This window comes from Homo sapiens, chromosome 2, assembly GCF_000001405.40.
Source record: "Homo sapiens chromosome 2, GRCh38.p14 Primary Assembly".
Taxonomy (NCBI): domain Eukaryota; kingdom Metazoa; phylum Chordata; class Mammalia; order Primates; family Hominidae; genus Homo; species Homo sapiens.
Window position 1 is genome coordinate 202,241,513 of NC_000002.12, and position 16,032 is coordinate 202,257,544.

Below are 16,032 nucleotides of genomic sequence, written 5' to 3' on the forward strand. Positions count from 1 at the left end.
TGGTTGCTTAAAAGTGCGTAGTACTTTCCGCTTCACAGTCTTTTTCTCCTGCTCTCGTGTGAAGAAGGTGATAGCTTCCCCTTTGCCTTGGTCCATGATTGTAAGTTTCCTGAGGGCTTCCAGTCATGCTTCCGGTTAGGCCTGCAGACCTATGAGTCAATTAAACCTCTTTTCTTCATGAATTACCCAGTCTAAGGCAGCTCTTTACAGCAATGTGAGAACAGACTAATACACTCTGTTTCTAAAAATAAAAATAAAACATATAACAAAAACATGTACACTAATGTTCAAAGCAACATTAGTGAGCTACTGCTCCAGCCTCCTACTAGGGCTGAGGGATTAGGGAGAAAATGGAGAGTGACTGCTGATGGGTACAGAGTTCCTTTTGGAAGTGATGAAAATGCTCTAAAATTGATTGGTGATGGTTGCACAGCTATATGAATATACTAAAAATTATATATTTTAAAGAGGTGAGCAGTATAAGCTAATTATCTCAGTAAAACCATTACATTAAAAAAAAATACAATGGCCTTGAAAAGAGCTGCTAGTAATAGGTGAAGAGGATTATTAAGGGAGCCTACATCCAAGCAAGTTAGTCAGGAAAAGCTTCCAAAATAAATACATAAATAACATCTAAATTGAAGGTCGGAGAGTAAGCTGAAATAAGCTAGAGCAGCAGTAGTTCTTTTTTTTTTTTTTTTGAGACAAATTCTCGCTCTGTCGCCCTGGCTGGAGTGCAGCGGCACAATCTCGGCTCACTGCAACCTCCACCTCCCAAGTTCAAGCAATTCTCTGCCTCAGCCTCCCTGAGTAGCTGGGACTACAGGCACGTGCCACCACACCTGGCTAATTATTTTTTTGTATTTTTAGTAGAGGCGGGGTTTCACCATGTTGGCCAGGCTGGTCTTGAACTCCTGACCTCGTGATCCACCCGCCTCGGCCTCCCAAAGTCCTGGGATTACAGGCTTGAGCCACCACGCCCGGCCCATATAATTCTTAATCTGTATTATAGTTTTTCAGTCCTACAATTTCTATTGGTCTTTTTCAAATTTGCTATGTCCTTGTTAACAATTCAAATTCTCAGTTGACATTCTCTATATACCTTAACAATAATTAACATGGTTATTTTAGATCCTGTTTCTGATCATTCTAGAGCCCCTGGAGGCACTTGCTTTTTTTGATTCTCATTCACATTATCTCCTCATTATCTTTGATTACGTGCTGGGCACTGTGTTTGAAACTTTGCTGAAATAATCTGTAATAACAATATTTTCTTCCTTCAGAGAGGAGTTTTGTCCTAGGGCACTAGGAACCCAGAGTCACCTTAATCCAATTTTAGGGACTGAGATTTTCTACCTGCCAGAATTCTCAAAGCTGGGCTTCAATTCATGCCAGTTCTGTTTCATTCTTAGTCTCAAGAGTCTACCCTTAGATGTCCCATTCCAAATCTTGGGGTGTTCTACACATGATATACTCAACTGTTTTTCCTTCTAAACAGACTTTGATTTCAGAGCAGTTTTAGGTTCACGACAAAATTTAGCAGGAAGTACAGTGCCCATATCACACATGCATCCCACACTATCAATGTCCCACACCAGAATAATATAAATTATTACAATTGATAAACCTATGCTGATGCATCATTATCACCCAAAGTTCACTCTTGGTGTTAGACATTCTATGGGTTTTATTTTTTAATTTTTTTTTTTTTTTTGAGACGGAGTCTCGCTCTGTTGCCCAGGCTGGAGTGCAGTGGCACAATGTCGGCTCACTGTAACCTCTGCCTCCTGGGTTCAAGCAATTCTCCTGCCTCAGCCTCCTGAGTAGCTGGGATTACAGGTGCCCCCCACCATGCCTGGCTAACTTTTGTATTTTTAGTAGAGATAGGGTTTTACCATTTTGGCCAGGCTGGTCTCGAACTCCTGGGCTCAAGTGATTCGCCTGCCTCGGCCTCCCAAAGTGCTGGGATTACAGGTGTGAGCAACCACACCAGGCCCTTACTTATTTTTTTGAGACAAGTAAAAAATGGCTCTGTCGCCCAGGCTGCAGTGCATTGCAATCACAGTTCACTGCAACCTCTGCCTCCTGGCTGGGCTCAAGACATCCTCCCACATCAGCCTACCAAGTAGCTGGGATGACAGGCGCTTGCCACCACGACCAGCTAATTTTGGTATATTTGTAACGACGGGGTTTCGTCATGTTTCCCAGGCTGGTCTCAAATCCCTGTGCTGAAGCAATCCACCCACCTCAGCCTCCCAAAGTGTTGGAATTACAGGTGTGAGCCACTGCACCCAGCTTCCATATGAACTTTAGAATTGATATGTTGATATGCACAAAATTAAATGCTGTGATTTTGATTGGGATTGCACTGAATCTATATATCAAGTTGGGAAGAAGTGACATCTAACTGACAACATTGAGCCTTCTTATCCATAACATAGAAATCCTTCATTTATTTAGCTCTTTACTGATTTTTTCATCAGAGTTTTGTAGGTTTCTTCATACAGATTTTAACATATTTTGTTAGACTTATACCTAAATATTTCATTGGGGTTGATGTTAATGTAAATGGTGTTTTTTTGTTGTTTCTTGTTTTTTTGTTTGTTTGTTTGTTTTTGAGATAGAGTCTCACTCTGTCGCCCAGGCTGGAGTGCAGTGGCGCAATCTCAGCTCACTGCAACCTCCGTCTCCCAGGTTCAAGCAATTCTCCTGCCTCAGCCTCCCGAGTAGCTGGGATCACAGATGTGCACCTCCACACCCGGCTAATTTTTTGTATTTTTAGTAGAGACGGGGTTTCACCATGTTGGCCAGCCTAGTCTCGAACTCCTGACCTCAGGTGATCTGCCCGCCTCGGTCTCCCAAAGTGCTGAGATTACAGGCATGAGCCACTGCACCCAGCCGTAAATGGTATGTTTTTAATTTCAAATTTCATTTGCTCATTGCTGGGCTGGAGCTAGTTTTTAACTTGTATCCCTGAACTGACAAAATGTTGAAAGCACTGCTCAGCCTTCCAGCCACTTCTACTATAGTTGGCAAATGCCAAATGGGGAAATGACAACAGATCTTGAACTCACTCCTCTAGATTCTTCCACTTTCCAAGATCTTGGTATTCTTCACTACCTTCATAACGCTTAGATGACTTCAAGCAAATTTTTAGGAAATATTTTATTCAGCTTTTCTAGTTGTCCTCAGTAATAGGGCTGGTCTTAGCTACCTGGTCCCCTTACTAAAGGTGGAAGTCCATAACCTTAAAAATTAAAGTTCACTTTAGATCTTTTTAAAGATTGTTTTTAAAACAATTTCTCAGAATCCTTTAAATTAATGCTTCTCAAATTTTTTATTCTTGGACCCCACGAATCAGAATTGCCTGGGTTCTGTATTTGAAAAGCCAGACTTCAGGCCCAACTCTAGACCTATTGATTCAAAATCTCTCTGGGCAGGGGCCAGAAATTCCCAAATTTCCAAGCTCTCTGTATTATATTTATTATAGCGATTTGAGCATCATTGATTTCATAAAGGGTTTTTTGTTTGTTTGTTTGGTTGGTTGGTTGGTTGGTTGATTGGTTGGTTGGTTGGTTGGTTTTTAGATGGAGTCTCACTGTGTCGCCAGGCTGGAGTGCAGTGGCACGATATTAGCTCACTGCAACCTCCGCCTCTCGGGTTCAAGCGATCCTCCTGCCTCAGTTCCCCTAGTAGCTGGGATTAGAGGCACGTGCCACCATGCCCAGTTAATTTTTGTATTTTTAGTAGAGACGGGGTTTCACCATGTTGGACAAGATGGTCTTGATCTCCTGACCTCGTGATCCCCCCACCTTGGCCTCCCAAAGTGCTGGGATTACAGGTGTGAGCCACCGCGCCTGGCCTCATGAAGTTTTTTTTTAATGGTGACACCTTGGGATAAATAAAAACTGTTGGCCAGGCATGGTGGCTCATGCCTGTAATCCCAGCACTTTGGGAGGCTGAGGCAAGCAGATAACGAGGTCAGGAGATCGAGACCATCTTGGCCAACATGATGAAACCCCGTCTCTACTAAAAACACAAAAATTAGCTGGGCATGGTGGCGTGCACCTGTAGTCCCACCTACTCAGGAGGCTGAGGCAGGAGAATCGCTTGAACCCAGGAGGTGGAGGTTGCGGTGAGCCAAGATCGCGCCATTGCACTCCAGCCTGAGCAACAGGAGCAAAACTCTGGCTCAAAAAAAAAAAAAAGAAAAACTGTCACTTAAGAAACACTATATTAAAGGAATGAATGTTAGCTTTTGCTATGGTACAAACACTGGTAATACTTCCTAAGAATAGACTGAATCTTCCTTGGTTCACTTGCTCAAAAACTGAAGGAGTTGTGGACTTGCTTTCTTCTTAAAAAGCGTAATCAGGGCACAGTGGCTCACACCTATAATCCCAGTACTTTGGAATGCTGAGGCAGATGGATCGCTTGGGCTCAGTAGTTCGAGACCAGCCTGGGCAACAAAGTGAGACCCTTTCTCTACAAAAAATGCAAAAATTAACTAGGCATAGTGGCACAGGCCTGTGGTCCCAGCTGCTTGGGAGGCTGAGGTTGCAGGATTGCCTGAGCCTAGGAGGTAGAGACTGCAGTGAGCCAAGATCGCACCACCGCATTCTAGCCTGGGTGACAAAGCAGGACTCTGTCTTGGGAAAAAAAAAAAAAACTTAAAAAAAGTGTAATCAAGTGTGAAAAGATAGCTGATTCTTACATTTTTTATTCTAATACTCATCCCCATGAAAAGAAGGTCAGCATCTCTAATAATAGCATCTCTAAGAATTGCGAATTAAAATGAGATACAATGTTTACATATCTGTTTTGCAAAGATTAAAAGAATAAATAAGCCCAGTATCGTTGATGTGGTTTGGCTCTGTGTCCCCACCCAAATCTCATCTTGTAGCTCCCATAATTCCCACGTGTTGTGGGAGGGACCTGGTGGGAGATGACTGAATTATGGGGGTGGGTCTTGCCTGGGCTGTTCTCATGATAGTAAGTCTCATGAGATCTTATGGAATTATAAGGGGGACTTTCCCTGCACAAGCTCTCTTTGCCTGCCGCCATCCACATAAGATGTGGCTTCCTCCTCCTTGCCCTCCACCATGATTGTGAGGCTTCCCTAGCCATGTGGAACTATAAGTCATTAAACCCCTTTCTTTGTAAATTGCCCAGTCTCGGGTATGTCTTTATCGGCAGCATGAAAACAAACTAATACAATCGTCAAGGTTTGAAAAATGGGCACTCTCAAGCAAGAATGGTAGGAGTGTAAACAGTACAATTGTATTAAAGGGCAACTTGAAAACATCTGCCAAAATTTTATACATACAAACAAATTTTACACAAGACAATTTATCTTCTAAGAATTTATTATTCAGTAATACACAATTATTTATAAACATATATATTCAAGGATGTTCTTTTTAGCATTATTGATGATAGCTAATAAACTATATACAATTATGTGCCTATTAATGGCAATCAGATAATTATGCCTGTTAATGGGAATCAGATAAATTATGCTACATCCCTAGAATAGAATCCTGTGCAGAGATGGGGTTTCACCATGTTGGCCAGGCTGGTCTCGAACTCCTGACCTTATGATCCACCCACCTCAGCCTACCAAAGTGCTGGGATTACAGGCCTGAGCCACCGCACCCAGCTGTATTATTTCTGCTATTCTATTCATTTATTCGCTTAACAAATAATTGTTTAGCTCCTGCCATTAGCCAGGCACACTGGTCTAGGTACTGAGGAGAGTAGTGTTTTAGGGAGAAGATAACTAGCTACTAACAAATAACCAAAAAATCACAATGTCTCCACAAAGTAAAGCTTTATTTGTCATTCACATCACAGTCTGACTTGGGTGTTCAGTAAGCATCCTTTATTTATTTATTTATTTATTTATTTTTATTTATTTATTTTTTTTAACCCTCCTGGGTTCACACCATTCTCCTGTCTCAGCCTCCCAAGTAGCTGGGACTACAGGCACCCGCTACCGCGCCTGGCTAATTTTTTTGTATTTTTAGTACAGGCAGGGTTTCACCATGTTGGCCAGGTGGGTCTAGAACTCCTGACCTCGTGATCCGCCCGCCTCGACCTCCCAAAGTGCTGGGATTACAGACGTGAGCCACCATGCCTGGCCAGTAAGCATCCTTTAATATTCTGATTTAAGGAATCAAGTTGGTCTCCTACCAACTTGTGCTGGCACCATCTTCTCATGCAAGCATCTGCAAACATTTTTTGTAAAGGGACAGATAGCAAATGTTTTAGGCTTTTGTGTCACAACTATTCAATTCTGCTATTGAAGCATGAACACAGCCATAGACAATATGTAATTGAATGAGCATTATTGTGTTCCAATAAAACTTTATTTACAAAACCAGAATATTAGCCGGACGTGGTGGCAGGCGCCTGTAGTCCCAGCTACTCCAGAGGCTGAGACAGGAGACTCGCTTGAACCCGGGAGGCAGAGGTTACAGTGAGCTAAGATCACACCACTGCACTCCAGCCTGGGTGATAGAGCAAGACTCTGTCTCAAAAACAAACAAACAAACAAAAAAATAGATGGTGGGCTAAATTTGATGCATGGGCCATGATTTGCCAATCCCTGTTGTAGGATGTCCTCGGAGTCTTGAACTGATTCTCTTTGCATTCAAGAGGTCAAAAGAAAGCATGAGAAAAAAAGGAAGAAAGAAAAAGCATGAGGAAGGCCTGGAAATGGCCTGACTTCAACCCTCTCTCATTGGCCAGAATCCAAACACAATGTCACAACTAAGTGAGTCTTTCTTGCGACCCAATGAAAGGAAAAGAGAGACACAGTCTGCCCTTTTTCTTACCAAATATTGTTTCTTTTTTTTTTTTTTGGCAGAGTCTTGCTCTGTTGCCCAGGCTGGAGTGCAGTGGTATGATCTCAGCTCACTGTAACTTCTGCCTCCTGGGTTCAAGTGATTCTCCTGCCTCAGCCTCCCGAGTAGATAGGACCACAGGCACCTGCCATCACAACTGGCTAATTTTGGTATTTTTAGTAGATACGGGTTTCACCATGTTGACCATGGTGACCAGCTTGGTCTCGAACGCCTGACCTCATGATCCAACCGCCTCAGCCTCCCAAAGTGCTGGGATTACAAGCATGAGCCACCACGCCCGGCCCCCTCAGATATGGCTTTCTATTATCTGGCTTTCTATTATCTGGTGACCTATGAACTAAAAAGACCATCTGCCCATATGCACCCGTGATAATGCAACATAGACAGGAAAACTGGGAAAAAAACGTCCTCATTCAGAACAAGGAAGAATTGAGGGCACATGGGTCACTGGACCACAGCAATTTTGAAATCCCACTGGGTAAGTATTGTGAAGGCCCTTTCACAATGGGTCAGCTCTACTGGTGGACTCTCAGAGTTCACATCGTGGGGATGTCCTCACTTCATGCAAGTTCCAACATTCTGTGCGAGGCAATTGTCTACATGGATGTTCTCCCTCTTGTCAAGTTCTGACACCATGGGTGGGCCTTCCCTTCACAGGACACCCTCTTCACACTAGTCAGGCTCTGACATTCCTCTCCAGGTGACACCATGTTGACACTTAGTCAGCTCGGCCCTAGCTAATGGCTTTGGAGCTAAATTGTTCAGAAAGGGAAAGAGAAAAAAGAAGAGAGAGGAATAAGGGGAAGAGAAAAAATAAAACTTTTCTTAATTTCTTACTATTAGGGCTAGAAGCAGTCAGCATTTCCTACTTTCAAGGCCCCCAACTTTTTTATTCTATTCTCTTTCATTTCTGCTTACAAACCCAGGAATTCTTTTTTTTTTTTTTTTGAGACGGCGTCTCTGTCGCCCAGGCTGGAGTGCAGTGGCGCAGTCTCGCCTAACTGCAAGCTCCGCCCCCGGGTTCATGCCATTCTCCTGCCTCAGCCTCTTGAGTAGCTGGAACTACAGGCGCCTGCCACCACACCCGGCCAATTTTTTGTATTTTTAGTAGAGACGGGGTTTCACCGTGTTAGCCAGGATGGTCTCGATCTCCTGACCTCGTGATCCACCCACCTCAGCCTCTCAAAGTGCTGGGATTACAGGCTTGAACCACTGCGCCCGGCCCAGGAATTCTTTCTTGATCTCATCTCTTTCATGTAATATCTTGCCAAACATTGCTAAAAATAATCACTATTAAGTTTCTACTTTCTATTTCCTTCCTCCAGGATGGATGACTCAGTAGACACATGGCCTGCTGCTCAGGTAACCTCAGGCAACAATTTTGTGAAATGTACTGCCACTCTATTTCATGGCTTAGCATCTTTCCAGCCACTAACATCAAGTTCATTGCAGCCCACCACTCACCTGCTGTCTCAATGATATATAGCTAAGGTGTGGCTTTTTTACAATAGAATTTTACTTCAAGCCAATACTCTTAAAACTGAGAGAGGAAACCCCAAGTGCCACGGAAAACAGCCAGTTATGTGAGGAGGCTGGAAGAGGCGGTGTTTCATTTGCATAGGGCTTAGGGGATTGGTTTGACCAGGCATGTTATTTACAAAGCCCGAGTAAAAACTGACCCTTCCAGCATAGCCTTTTAATATGCAAATGCAGGGCACCAAGATGTTTTACACGTGTGGGGCTATGTGGGGGAGGCCATGTTGCCAGGCACATGTGGGGGCAAGGGCAAGAGGACAGAGGTGGGAATTACCCTGTGGACCCAGTTTTAATGGCCTACATTTGCATATTAAAGGTTGCCGGCGGGTTCTAAGAGCCAGAGCTTTCCTGCTAAACAGACATTTCTGGAGCTGCTTTAAAAGAGACAAAAAATTCCTAAAGACCCCTTTTCCTCTCTATCTGCCTAAAATAATTTTTTAATAACTCCTATAACACTATTATTCTTCTTTTGAAAAAGAACAGGGCCGGGCGCGGTGGCTCCTGCCTGTAATCTCAGCACTTTGGGAGGCCGAGGCAAGCGGATCACTTGAGGTCAGGAATTCGAGACCAGCCTGGCCAATACAGCGAAATCCCGTCTCTACTAAAAATACAAAAAAATAGTCGGGCATGGTGGCATGCGCCTATAATCCCAGCTACTCAGGAGGCTGAGGTAGGAGAATCGCTTGAACCCGGGAGGCGGAGGTTGCAGTGAGTCAAGTCCGCATCACTACCCTCCCGCTTGGGGGAGAGAGCAAGACTCCGTCTCAAAAAAAAAAAAAAAAAAAAAAAACAATAAGAAAAAGAACAACCAATTTGTTGACAATTATGGTGAATCTGTGGTGTGGTAATCTGTGGTAGGTAGAATAATATCCCCCAAAAGATATCCATGTCCTAATACCCAGAACTAATGAATATGTTACCTTAAATGGCAAAGTGGACTTTGCAGATGGGATTAAATTAAGGATCTTGACATGGAGTGCTGAATTTTCTATGTAGGCCAAATGTTATCACAGGTTCTTATAAAAAGGAGGAAGAGCCAGGCGCGGTGGCTCATGCCTGTAATCCCAGCACTTTGAGAGGCCGAAGTGGGCAGATCACCTGAGGTCAGGAGTTTGAAACCAGCCTGGCCAACATGGAGAAACCCCGTCTCCACTAAAAATACAAAATTAGCTGGGTGTGGTAACGCATGCCTGTAATCCCAGCTACTCGGGAGGCTGAGGCAGGAGAATCGCTTGAACCCGGGAGGCGGAGGTTGCACTGAGCCGAGATCGCCGCCATTGCACTCCAGCCTGGGCAACAAGAGCGAAACTCCGTCTCAAAAAAAAAAAAAAAGGAGGAAGAGGCCGGACGCGATGGCTCACGCCTGTAATCCCAGCACTTTGGGAGGGCGATGTGGGCAGATCACGAGGTCAGGAGATTGAGACTATCCTGGCCAACATGGTGAAACCCCGTCTCTACTTAAAAAAAAAAAAATTAACTGGATGTGGTGGTGCACGCCTGTAGTCTCAGCTACTGGGGAGGCTGAGACAGGAAAATTGATTGAACCCAGGAGGCAGAGGTTGCAGTGAGCGGAGATCACACCATTGCACTCCAGCGTGGCGACAGAGTGAGACTCCATCTCAAAAAAAAAAAAAAAAAAAGAAAGAGGAAAAGAAGGCAAGGCAGTCAGAGTCCAAGAAGGAGCTGTGACAAAGGAAGTAGGGCCATGAGCCAAGGAATGCAGGAAACTTCTCTTAGTCTGTTCAGGCTGCCATAACAAAACACCATAGACTGGACGGTTTAAACAACAGACGTTTATTTCTCACAGTTCTAGCAGCTGGGAAACCCAAGATCAAGGTGTTGACAGATTTGGTTCTTGGTGAGGACTTTCTTCTTGGCTTGCAAGCAACCGCCTTCTTGCTATATCCTCACATGGTAGAGAAGAGCATGTGATCTCTTCCTCTTCTTATAAAGGCATTAATCCCATCATGGGAATTCTACTCTCATGACCTCATCTAAACAAAATAGTCTCCCAAAAACCCATCTCCAAATATGATCATATTGGGGATTAGGGTTTCAACATATGAATTTCAGGGAGTCTATAACATTCCAGAAGCTGGAAAAGCTGAGGAAATAGAGCCTGTCCTAGAGTCTCCCCACTCTAGATGCCCTGTTAACACATCTATTTTAGCTCATTGAGTCCCATGTCACACTTATGACATCTAGAAGTGTAAGGTAATAAATTTGTGTTGTTTTAAGCTATTAAATTTGTGGTAATTTGTTACGGCAATAATAGGAATCTATTACACTTGTTACAGATGGTTAGACAGGCATGAGCAGGGTAGGAGAGGGCTCTCTCCTAACCCACCAGAAATGTCAGACTTCACAATTATCACATTGCCTCTCTAAAAGTGATAAATTAGCAGCAGGTCCCAGGGAGAGGCCGTTTCCTGATGGTCTGCACCTGTTGTACTAAAGTGTTAATTGAATGCAGACACCAGAAAGAAGGAACTTCCCTGGCATGTGCATTAAGAGACAAAATGGTGGAGTATGACCTTTGGGACACTCCACTGGAAAAGGGAAGAAAGCTTCAGATGGGGATGCATACAACCTCCTAAACACAGCGCATGTGCTCACTTCCCAAACATAAAAAGGGCAGCATGCAGCCCACCCTAAAGGAAGAATCATGGAAAAGGGGTGAAAGACACCAGAAGTGGGGCAGCCTACAAAGTCCTAGGATCACAGCTAAAGGCAGCACTTGACCTTCACATGCCTGCTTGGATCTCTTCCAAGCATACTTTCCTGTTCTACAGCCTTTTTAAATAAACTTCAGCCCAGGCACGGTGGATAACGCCTATAATCCCAGCACTTTGGGAGTCTGAAGTGGGTGGATCATGAGGTCAGGAGTTCACAACCAGCCTGGCCAACATGGTGAAACCATGTCTTTACTAAAAATACAAAAATTAGCTGGGCATGGAGATGCACACCTGTAATCCCAGCTACTCAGGGGGCTGAAGCAGGAGAATTGCTTGAACCCGGGAGATACAAGTTGCAGTGAGCCGAGATCAGGCCACTGCACTCCAGCCTGGGCTACAGAGTGAGACTCTGTCTCAAACAAACAAACAAACAAACAAACAAACTTCAACTCCTTCTCTAAAAGTTGCTGTGGTCTCTTTTTCTGCCTTATACCCTTCAGTCGAATTCTTTCTTTTGAGGAGGCAAGAATTGAGGTTGCTGCAGACCCATATGAATTTGCTGCCAGTAACTCAGATATCTTTTGCCAGTAATGCACTGTCCTTGCTTGTGAACATAAGTGTGTTTCTATCCAACCTGAAAAGTATACAGTGAGGCCAGGCTTGGTGGCTCACAATTGTAATCCTAGAATTTTGGGAGGCCAAGCCAAGAGGATCGCTTGAGACCAAAAGTTCCAAACCAGCCTGGGCAACTGTATTAGCCCGTTTTCATGCTGCTGATAAAGACAAACCCAAGACCGGGAAGAAAAAGAGGTTTAACGCACATGTTCTCACACATAGGTGTGAATTGAACAATGAGAACACTTGGATACAGGGTGGGGAACATCACACACTGGGGCCTGTCCTGGGGTGGGGGGATGGGGGAGGGATAGGATGGAGATATACCTAATGTAAATGACAAGTTAATGGGTGCAGCACACCAACATGGCACATGTATACATATGTAACAAACCTGCATGTTGTGCACATGTACCCTAGAAAATAATAAAAAATAAATAAATAAATAAAAAGAGGTTTAATGGACTTAAAGTTCCACATAGCTGGGGAGGTCTCACAAACAAGGTGGAAGGCAAGGAGGAGCAAGTCATGTCTTACATGTATGCCAGCAAGTAAAGACAGAGCTTGTGCAGGGAAACTCCCCCTTAAAAACTCCCCCTTAAAAGACTTATTCACTATCATGAGAACAGCACCAGAAAGACCTGCCCCCATGATTCAATTACCTCCCACTGGGTCCCTCCCAGAGCACTTGGGAATTCAAGGTGAGATTTGGGTGAGGACACAGCCAAACCATATCAGCAACATAGCAACATCCTGTCTCTATAAAAAATTTAAAAATTGCCAGACGTGGTGGCTCACGTCTGTAATCCCAGCACTTTGGGAGGCTGAGGCAGGCGGATCACCTGAGGTCAGTAGTTTGAGACCATCCTGCCCAACATGGCGAAACTCTGCCTCTACTAAAAATACAAAAAATTAGCCAGGCGTGATGGGAGGTGCCTATAGTCCCAGCTACTCGGGAGGCTGAGGCAGGAGAATCACTTGAACCTGAGAGGCAGAGGTTGCAGTGCGTCAAGATCATGCCACTGCACTCCAGCCTGGGTGACAAGAGTGAAACTCCATCTCAAAAATAAATAAATAAATAAATAAAAATTAGCCAGGCATGCTGATGTGACCTATAATTCCAGCTACTCCAGAGGCTGAGGTGAGAGTAGCACTTGAAACCAGAAGTGAGTTCAAGTGAGCTGTGATCATGCCATTGCACTATAGCTTGGGTGACAGAGTAAAACCTTGTCTCTTAAAAAAAAAAATATATATATATATATATACAATTACTAACATATACTCATTACTCATATCAATAATTGATATATTTTTACAATATATAATTAACTTGCAGACATTGAGCTTTTCTTTTCTTTTCTTTTTTTTTTTGAGACTGAGTCTCACTCTGTCACCAGGCTGGAGTGCAGTGGGGCGATCTTGGCTCACTGCAACCTCTACATCCCAAGTTCAAGCAATTCTCCAGCCTCAGCCTCCCAAGTAGCTGGGATTACAGGGGCATGCCACCATGCCCAGCTTATTTTTGTATTTTTAGTAGAGACGGGGTTTTACCATGTTGGCCAGGATGGTCTCGATCTCTTCACCTTATGATCCGCCCTCCTCTGCCTCCCAAAGTGCTGGGATTACAGGCATGAGCCACTGCACCTGGCCCCTGAGCTTTTCTTTTTTAAAAAAATTCCTTTTTTTTCTTTTGAGACAGAGTCTTGCTCTGTCACCAAGGCTAGAGTGTGGGTCTTTCCCTATGTCATCATGTACTGTATTGTACAATACTCATTCAATCAGGTTATGAGTTAATCTAGGGGCACAACTCTTTTTTAAAATAAAGATGGGGTCTTGCTATGTTGCTCAGGCTGGTCTGAAACTCCTGGGGTCAAGCGATCCATCCACATGGGCCTCCCAAAGTGCTGGAATTACAGGCATGACCTACAGTGCCCAGCCTATGGGCACAACTTTAGGATTAATTAATTATTTAATTATTTAATTTTTTATTTTTTTTCAGACAGAGTTTCACTCTTGTTGCCCAGGCTGGAGTGTAATGGGCAATCTCGGCTCACTGCTGATACCTCTTCTCTTAGTCTCTTTATTTATTTATTTATTTATTTATTTATTTATTTATTTATTTATTTTTGAGACGGAGTCCAGGCTGTCGCCCAGGCTGGAGTGCAGTGGCACGATCTCGGCTCACTGCAAGCTCCGCCTCCTGGGTTTTACGCCATTCTCCTGCCTCAGCCTCCAGAGTAGCTGGGACTACAGGCGCCTGCCACCACGCCCGGCTAATTTTTTTTGTATTTTTAGTAGAGACGGGGTTTCACCCTGTTAGCCAGGATGGTCTCGATCTCCTGACCTCGTGATCCGTCTGCCTCGGCCTCCCAAAGTGCTGGGATTACAGGCGCGAGCCACCGCGCCTGGCCTATTTTTTCTTAGGTTTCTTAAGTATTCTTAAGTATTCTTTTGTATTTTTCATGAGTCTATGACTCATTTGAAGTACTTCTTTTTTTTTGAAACAGGGTCTCACTCTGTTGCCCAGGCTGGAGTGCAGTGGCCTGATCACTGCTAACTGCAGCTTAACCTCCCAGCTGAGAGCGTGTCACTGCACTCCAGCCTGGTGACAGAGTGAGACTCCATCTCCAAAAAAAACCAAAAAACAAAAATTAGCCAGGCATGGTGGCACGTGCCTGTAAACCCAGCTACTCAGGAGGCTGAGGCAGGAGAATTGCTTGAACCTGGGAAGCAGAGATTGCAGTGAACCGAGATTAAGCCATTGCACTTCAGCCTGGGGCAACAGAACAATCTCTGTCGCAAAATAAAGAAAGTCTTTATGTTTATTTATGAACAAATCATTTTGCTGGATATACAATTCTAAGTTGAGTTACTCTTTTTTCTAACACTTTGAAGATATTCTTCCACTATTCTCTAAACACTATTATTGCTGTTAAGACCTCCCTTAGTCTAATCGTTTTACTTTGTACGTTGCAGGTCATCTGACTTTTCTCTCTGGCTGAATTTAAGATTTTTCTCTTTTTGATATCTTGTGGTTCTGACATAACCATTCTGTGATTATGATATTCTACACCATACTTAGGTATGAACTTTCCCTCTGAATTGTGTTTCCTGTATGTGTGAATTCTTGTCCCAGGTTTAAGTGATCCTCCCAAGTAGCTGGGACTAAGGTGCATACCACCACACCGGCTAATTTTTAAAATTTTTTGTGAAGACAGAGTCTCACTATGTTGCCCAGGCTGGTCTTGAACTGAGCTCAAGCAAGCCTCCTGCCTCAGCCTCCCAAAGTGATGGGATTACAGGTATGAGCCACTGTGCCTGGCTGAAGTACTTTCTTTATGTTTATCTGCAGAGTACTAATTCTCTTTTTTGTCCATGTTTTAACTTGTTTTCTAGCAAATCTGTCAAGTTTTTATTTCAATGTTATATGTTTTATTCTAGAAATGCAATATGATTCTTTTTCAAATATGCCAAATCATTTTAATACTTACATCTTGCTCTTTTTCCTGATTTCACGTTTTTTATTTAAACATTTCAGATTAAGCAATGTAAAATCTATATATGATAAATTTAACATCAGAAGTTTTTGAAGAGGACCTACTGTGTTTTTTGTTCTGAATCTGTTCTTTGTTTTTGTTTGTTAATTTTTTAATGTAAGCTGATATTTGGGTTTCAATTTGTGTCAAATTTGAGGAAGGTGGCCAGTATTTTAAAGAGCTTGCTCACCACAAAACAAAAATGAGGCCGGGCGTGGTGGCTCACGCCTGTAATCCTAGCACTTTGGGGGGCCAAGGCGGGTGGATCACGAGGTCAGGAGATCGAGACCATCCTGGCTAACATGGTGAAGCCCCATCTCTACTAAAAACACAAAAAATTAGCCGGGCGTGGTGGCGGGCACCTGTGGTCCCAGCTACTCAGGAGGCTGAGGCAGGAGAATGGCGCGAACCTGGGAGGCGGAGTTTGCAGTGAGCCGAGATCGCACCACTGCACTCCAGCCTGGGCGACAGAGCGAGACTCTGTCTCAAAAAAAAAAAAAAATGAATAAACAAACTATGTACTTAAAGGAAACTACCCACAAAGTAACCAAGGTTACCAAGTTAACAGCTAGTCAGTTAATAAAGGAAAAATAGCAATTTTCTCATGTGATTATTTTATCTATAAAGCCCCTCCCATATCTTCAGTTATTCGCTTTATAAAAACAGTTGTTTTTATCTAGGAAACAGTAATTTACAGGAAAGCCCAAGGTTTTATTTGAGATATTAAAACTAGAGCCTTCTTTTGTTTCTGTTTTCTCAGGGTGCAAAGTGGGGTGTATGTGTGTTTCCCAAGTGTAGACCGTG

General features: G+C 43.6%; 2 annotated features.

Moving 5' to 3' along the window:
* Positions 8,016-8,747: an enhancer, noted in NCBI's record as "OCT4-NANOG-H3K27ac-H3K4me1 hESC enhancer chr2:203114251-203114982 (GRCh37/hg19 assembly coordinates)". NCBI's record gives its function as "activates a minimal SCP1, AML or CMV promoter by ChIP-STARR-seq in naive and primed H9 embryonic stem cells {active_cell/tissue: H9 hESC(naive and primed)}" and the evidence as "EXISTENCE:reporter gene assay evidence [ECO:0000049][PMID:30033119]".
* Positions 8,748-9,479: an enhancer, noted in NCBI's record as "OCT4-NANOG-H3K27ac hESC enhancer chr2:203114983-203115714 (GRCh37/hg19 assembly coordinates)". NCBI's record gives its function as "activates a minimal SCP1, AML or CMV promoter by ChIP-STARR-seq in naive H9 embryonic stem cells {active_cell/tissue: H9 hESC(naive)}" and the evidence as "EXISTENCE:reporter gene assay evidence [ECO:0000049][PMID:30033119]".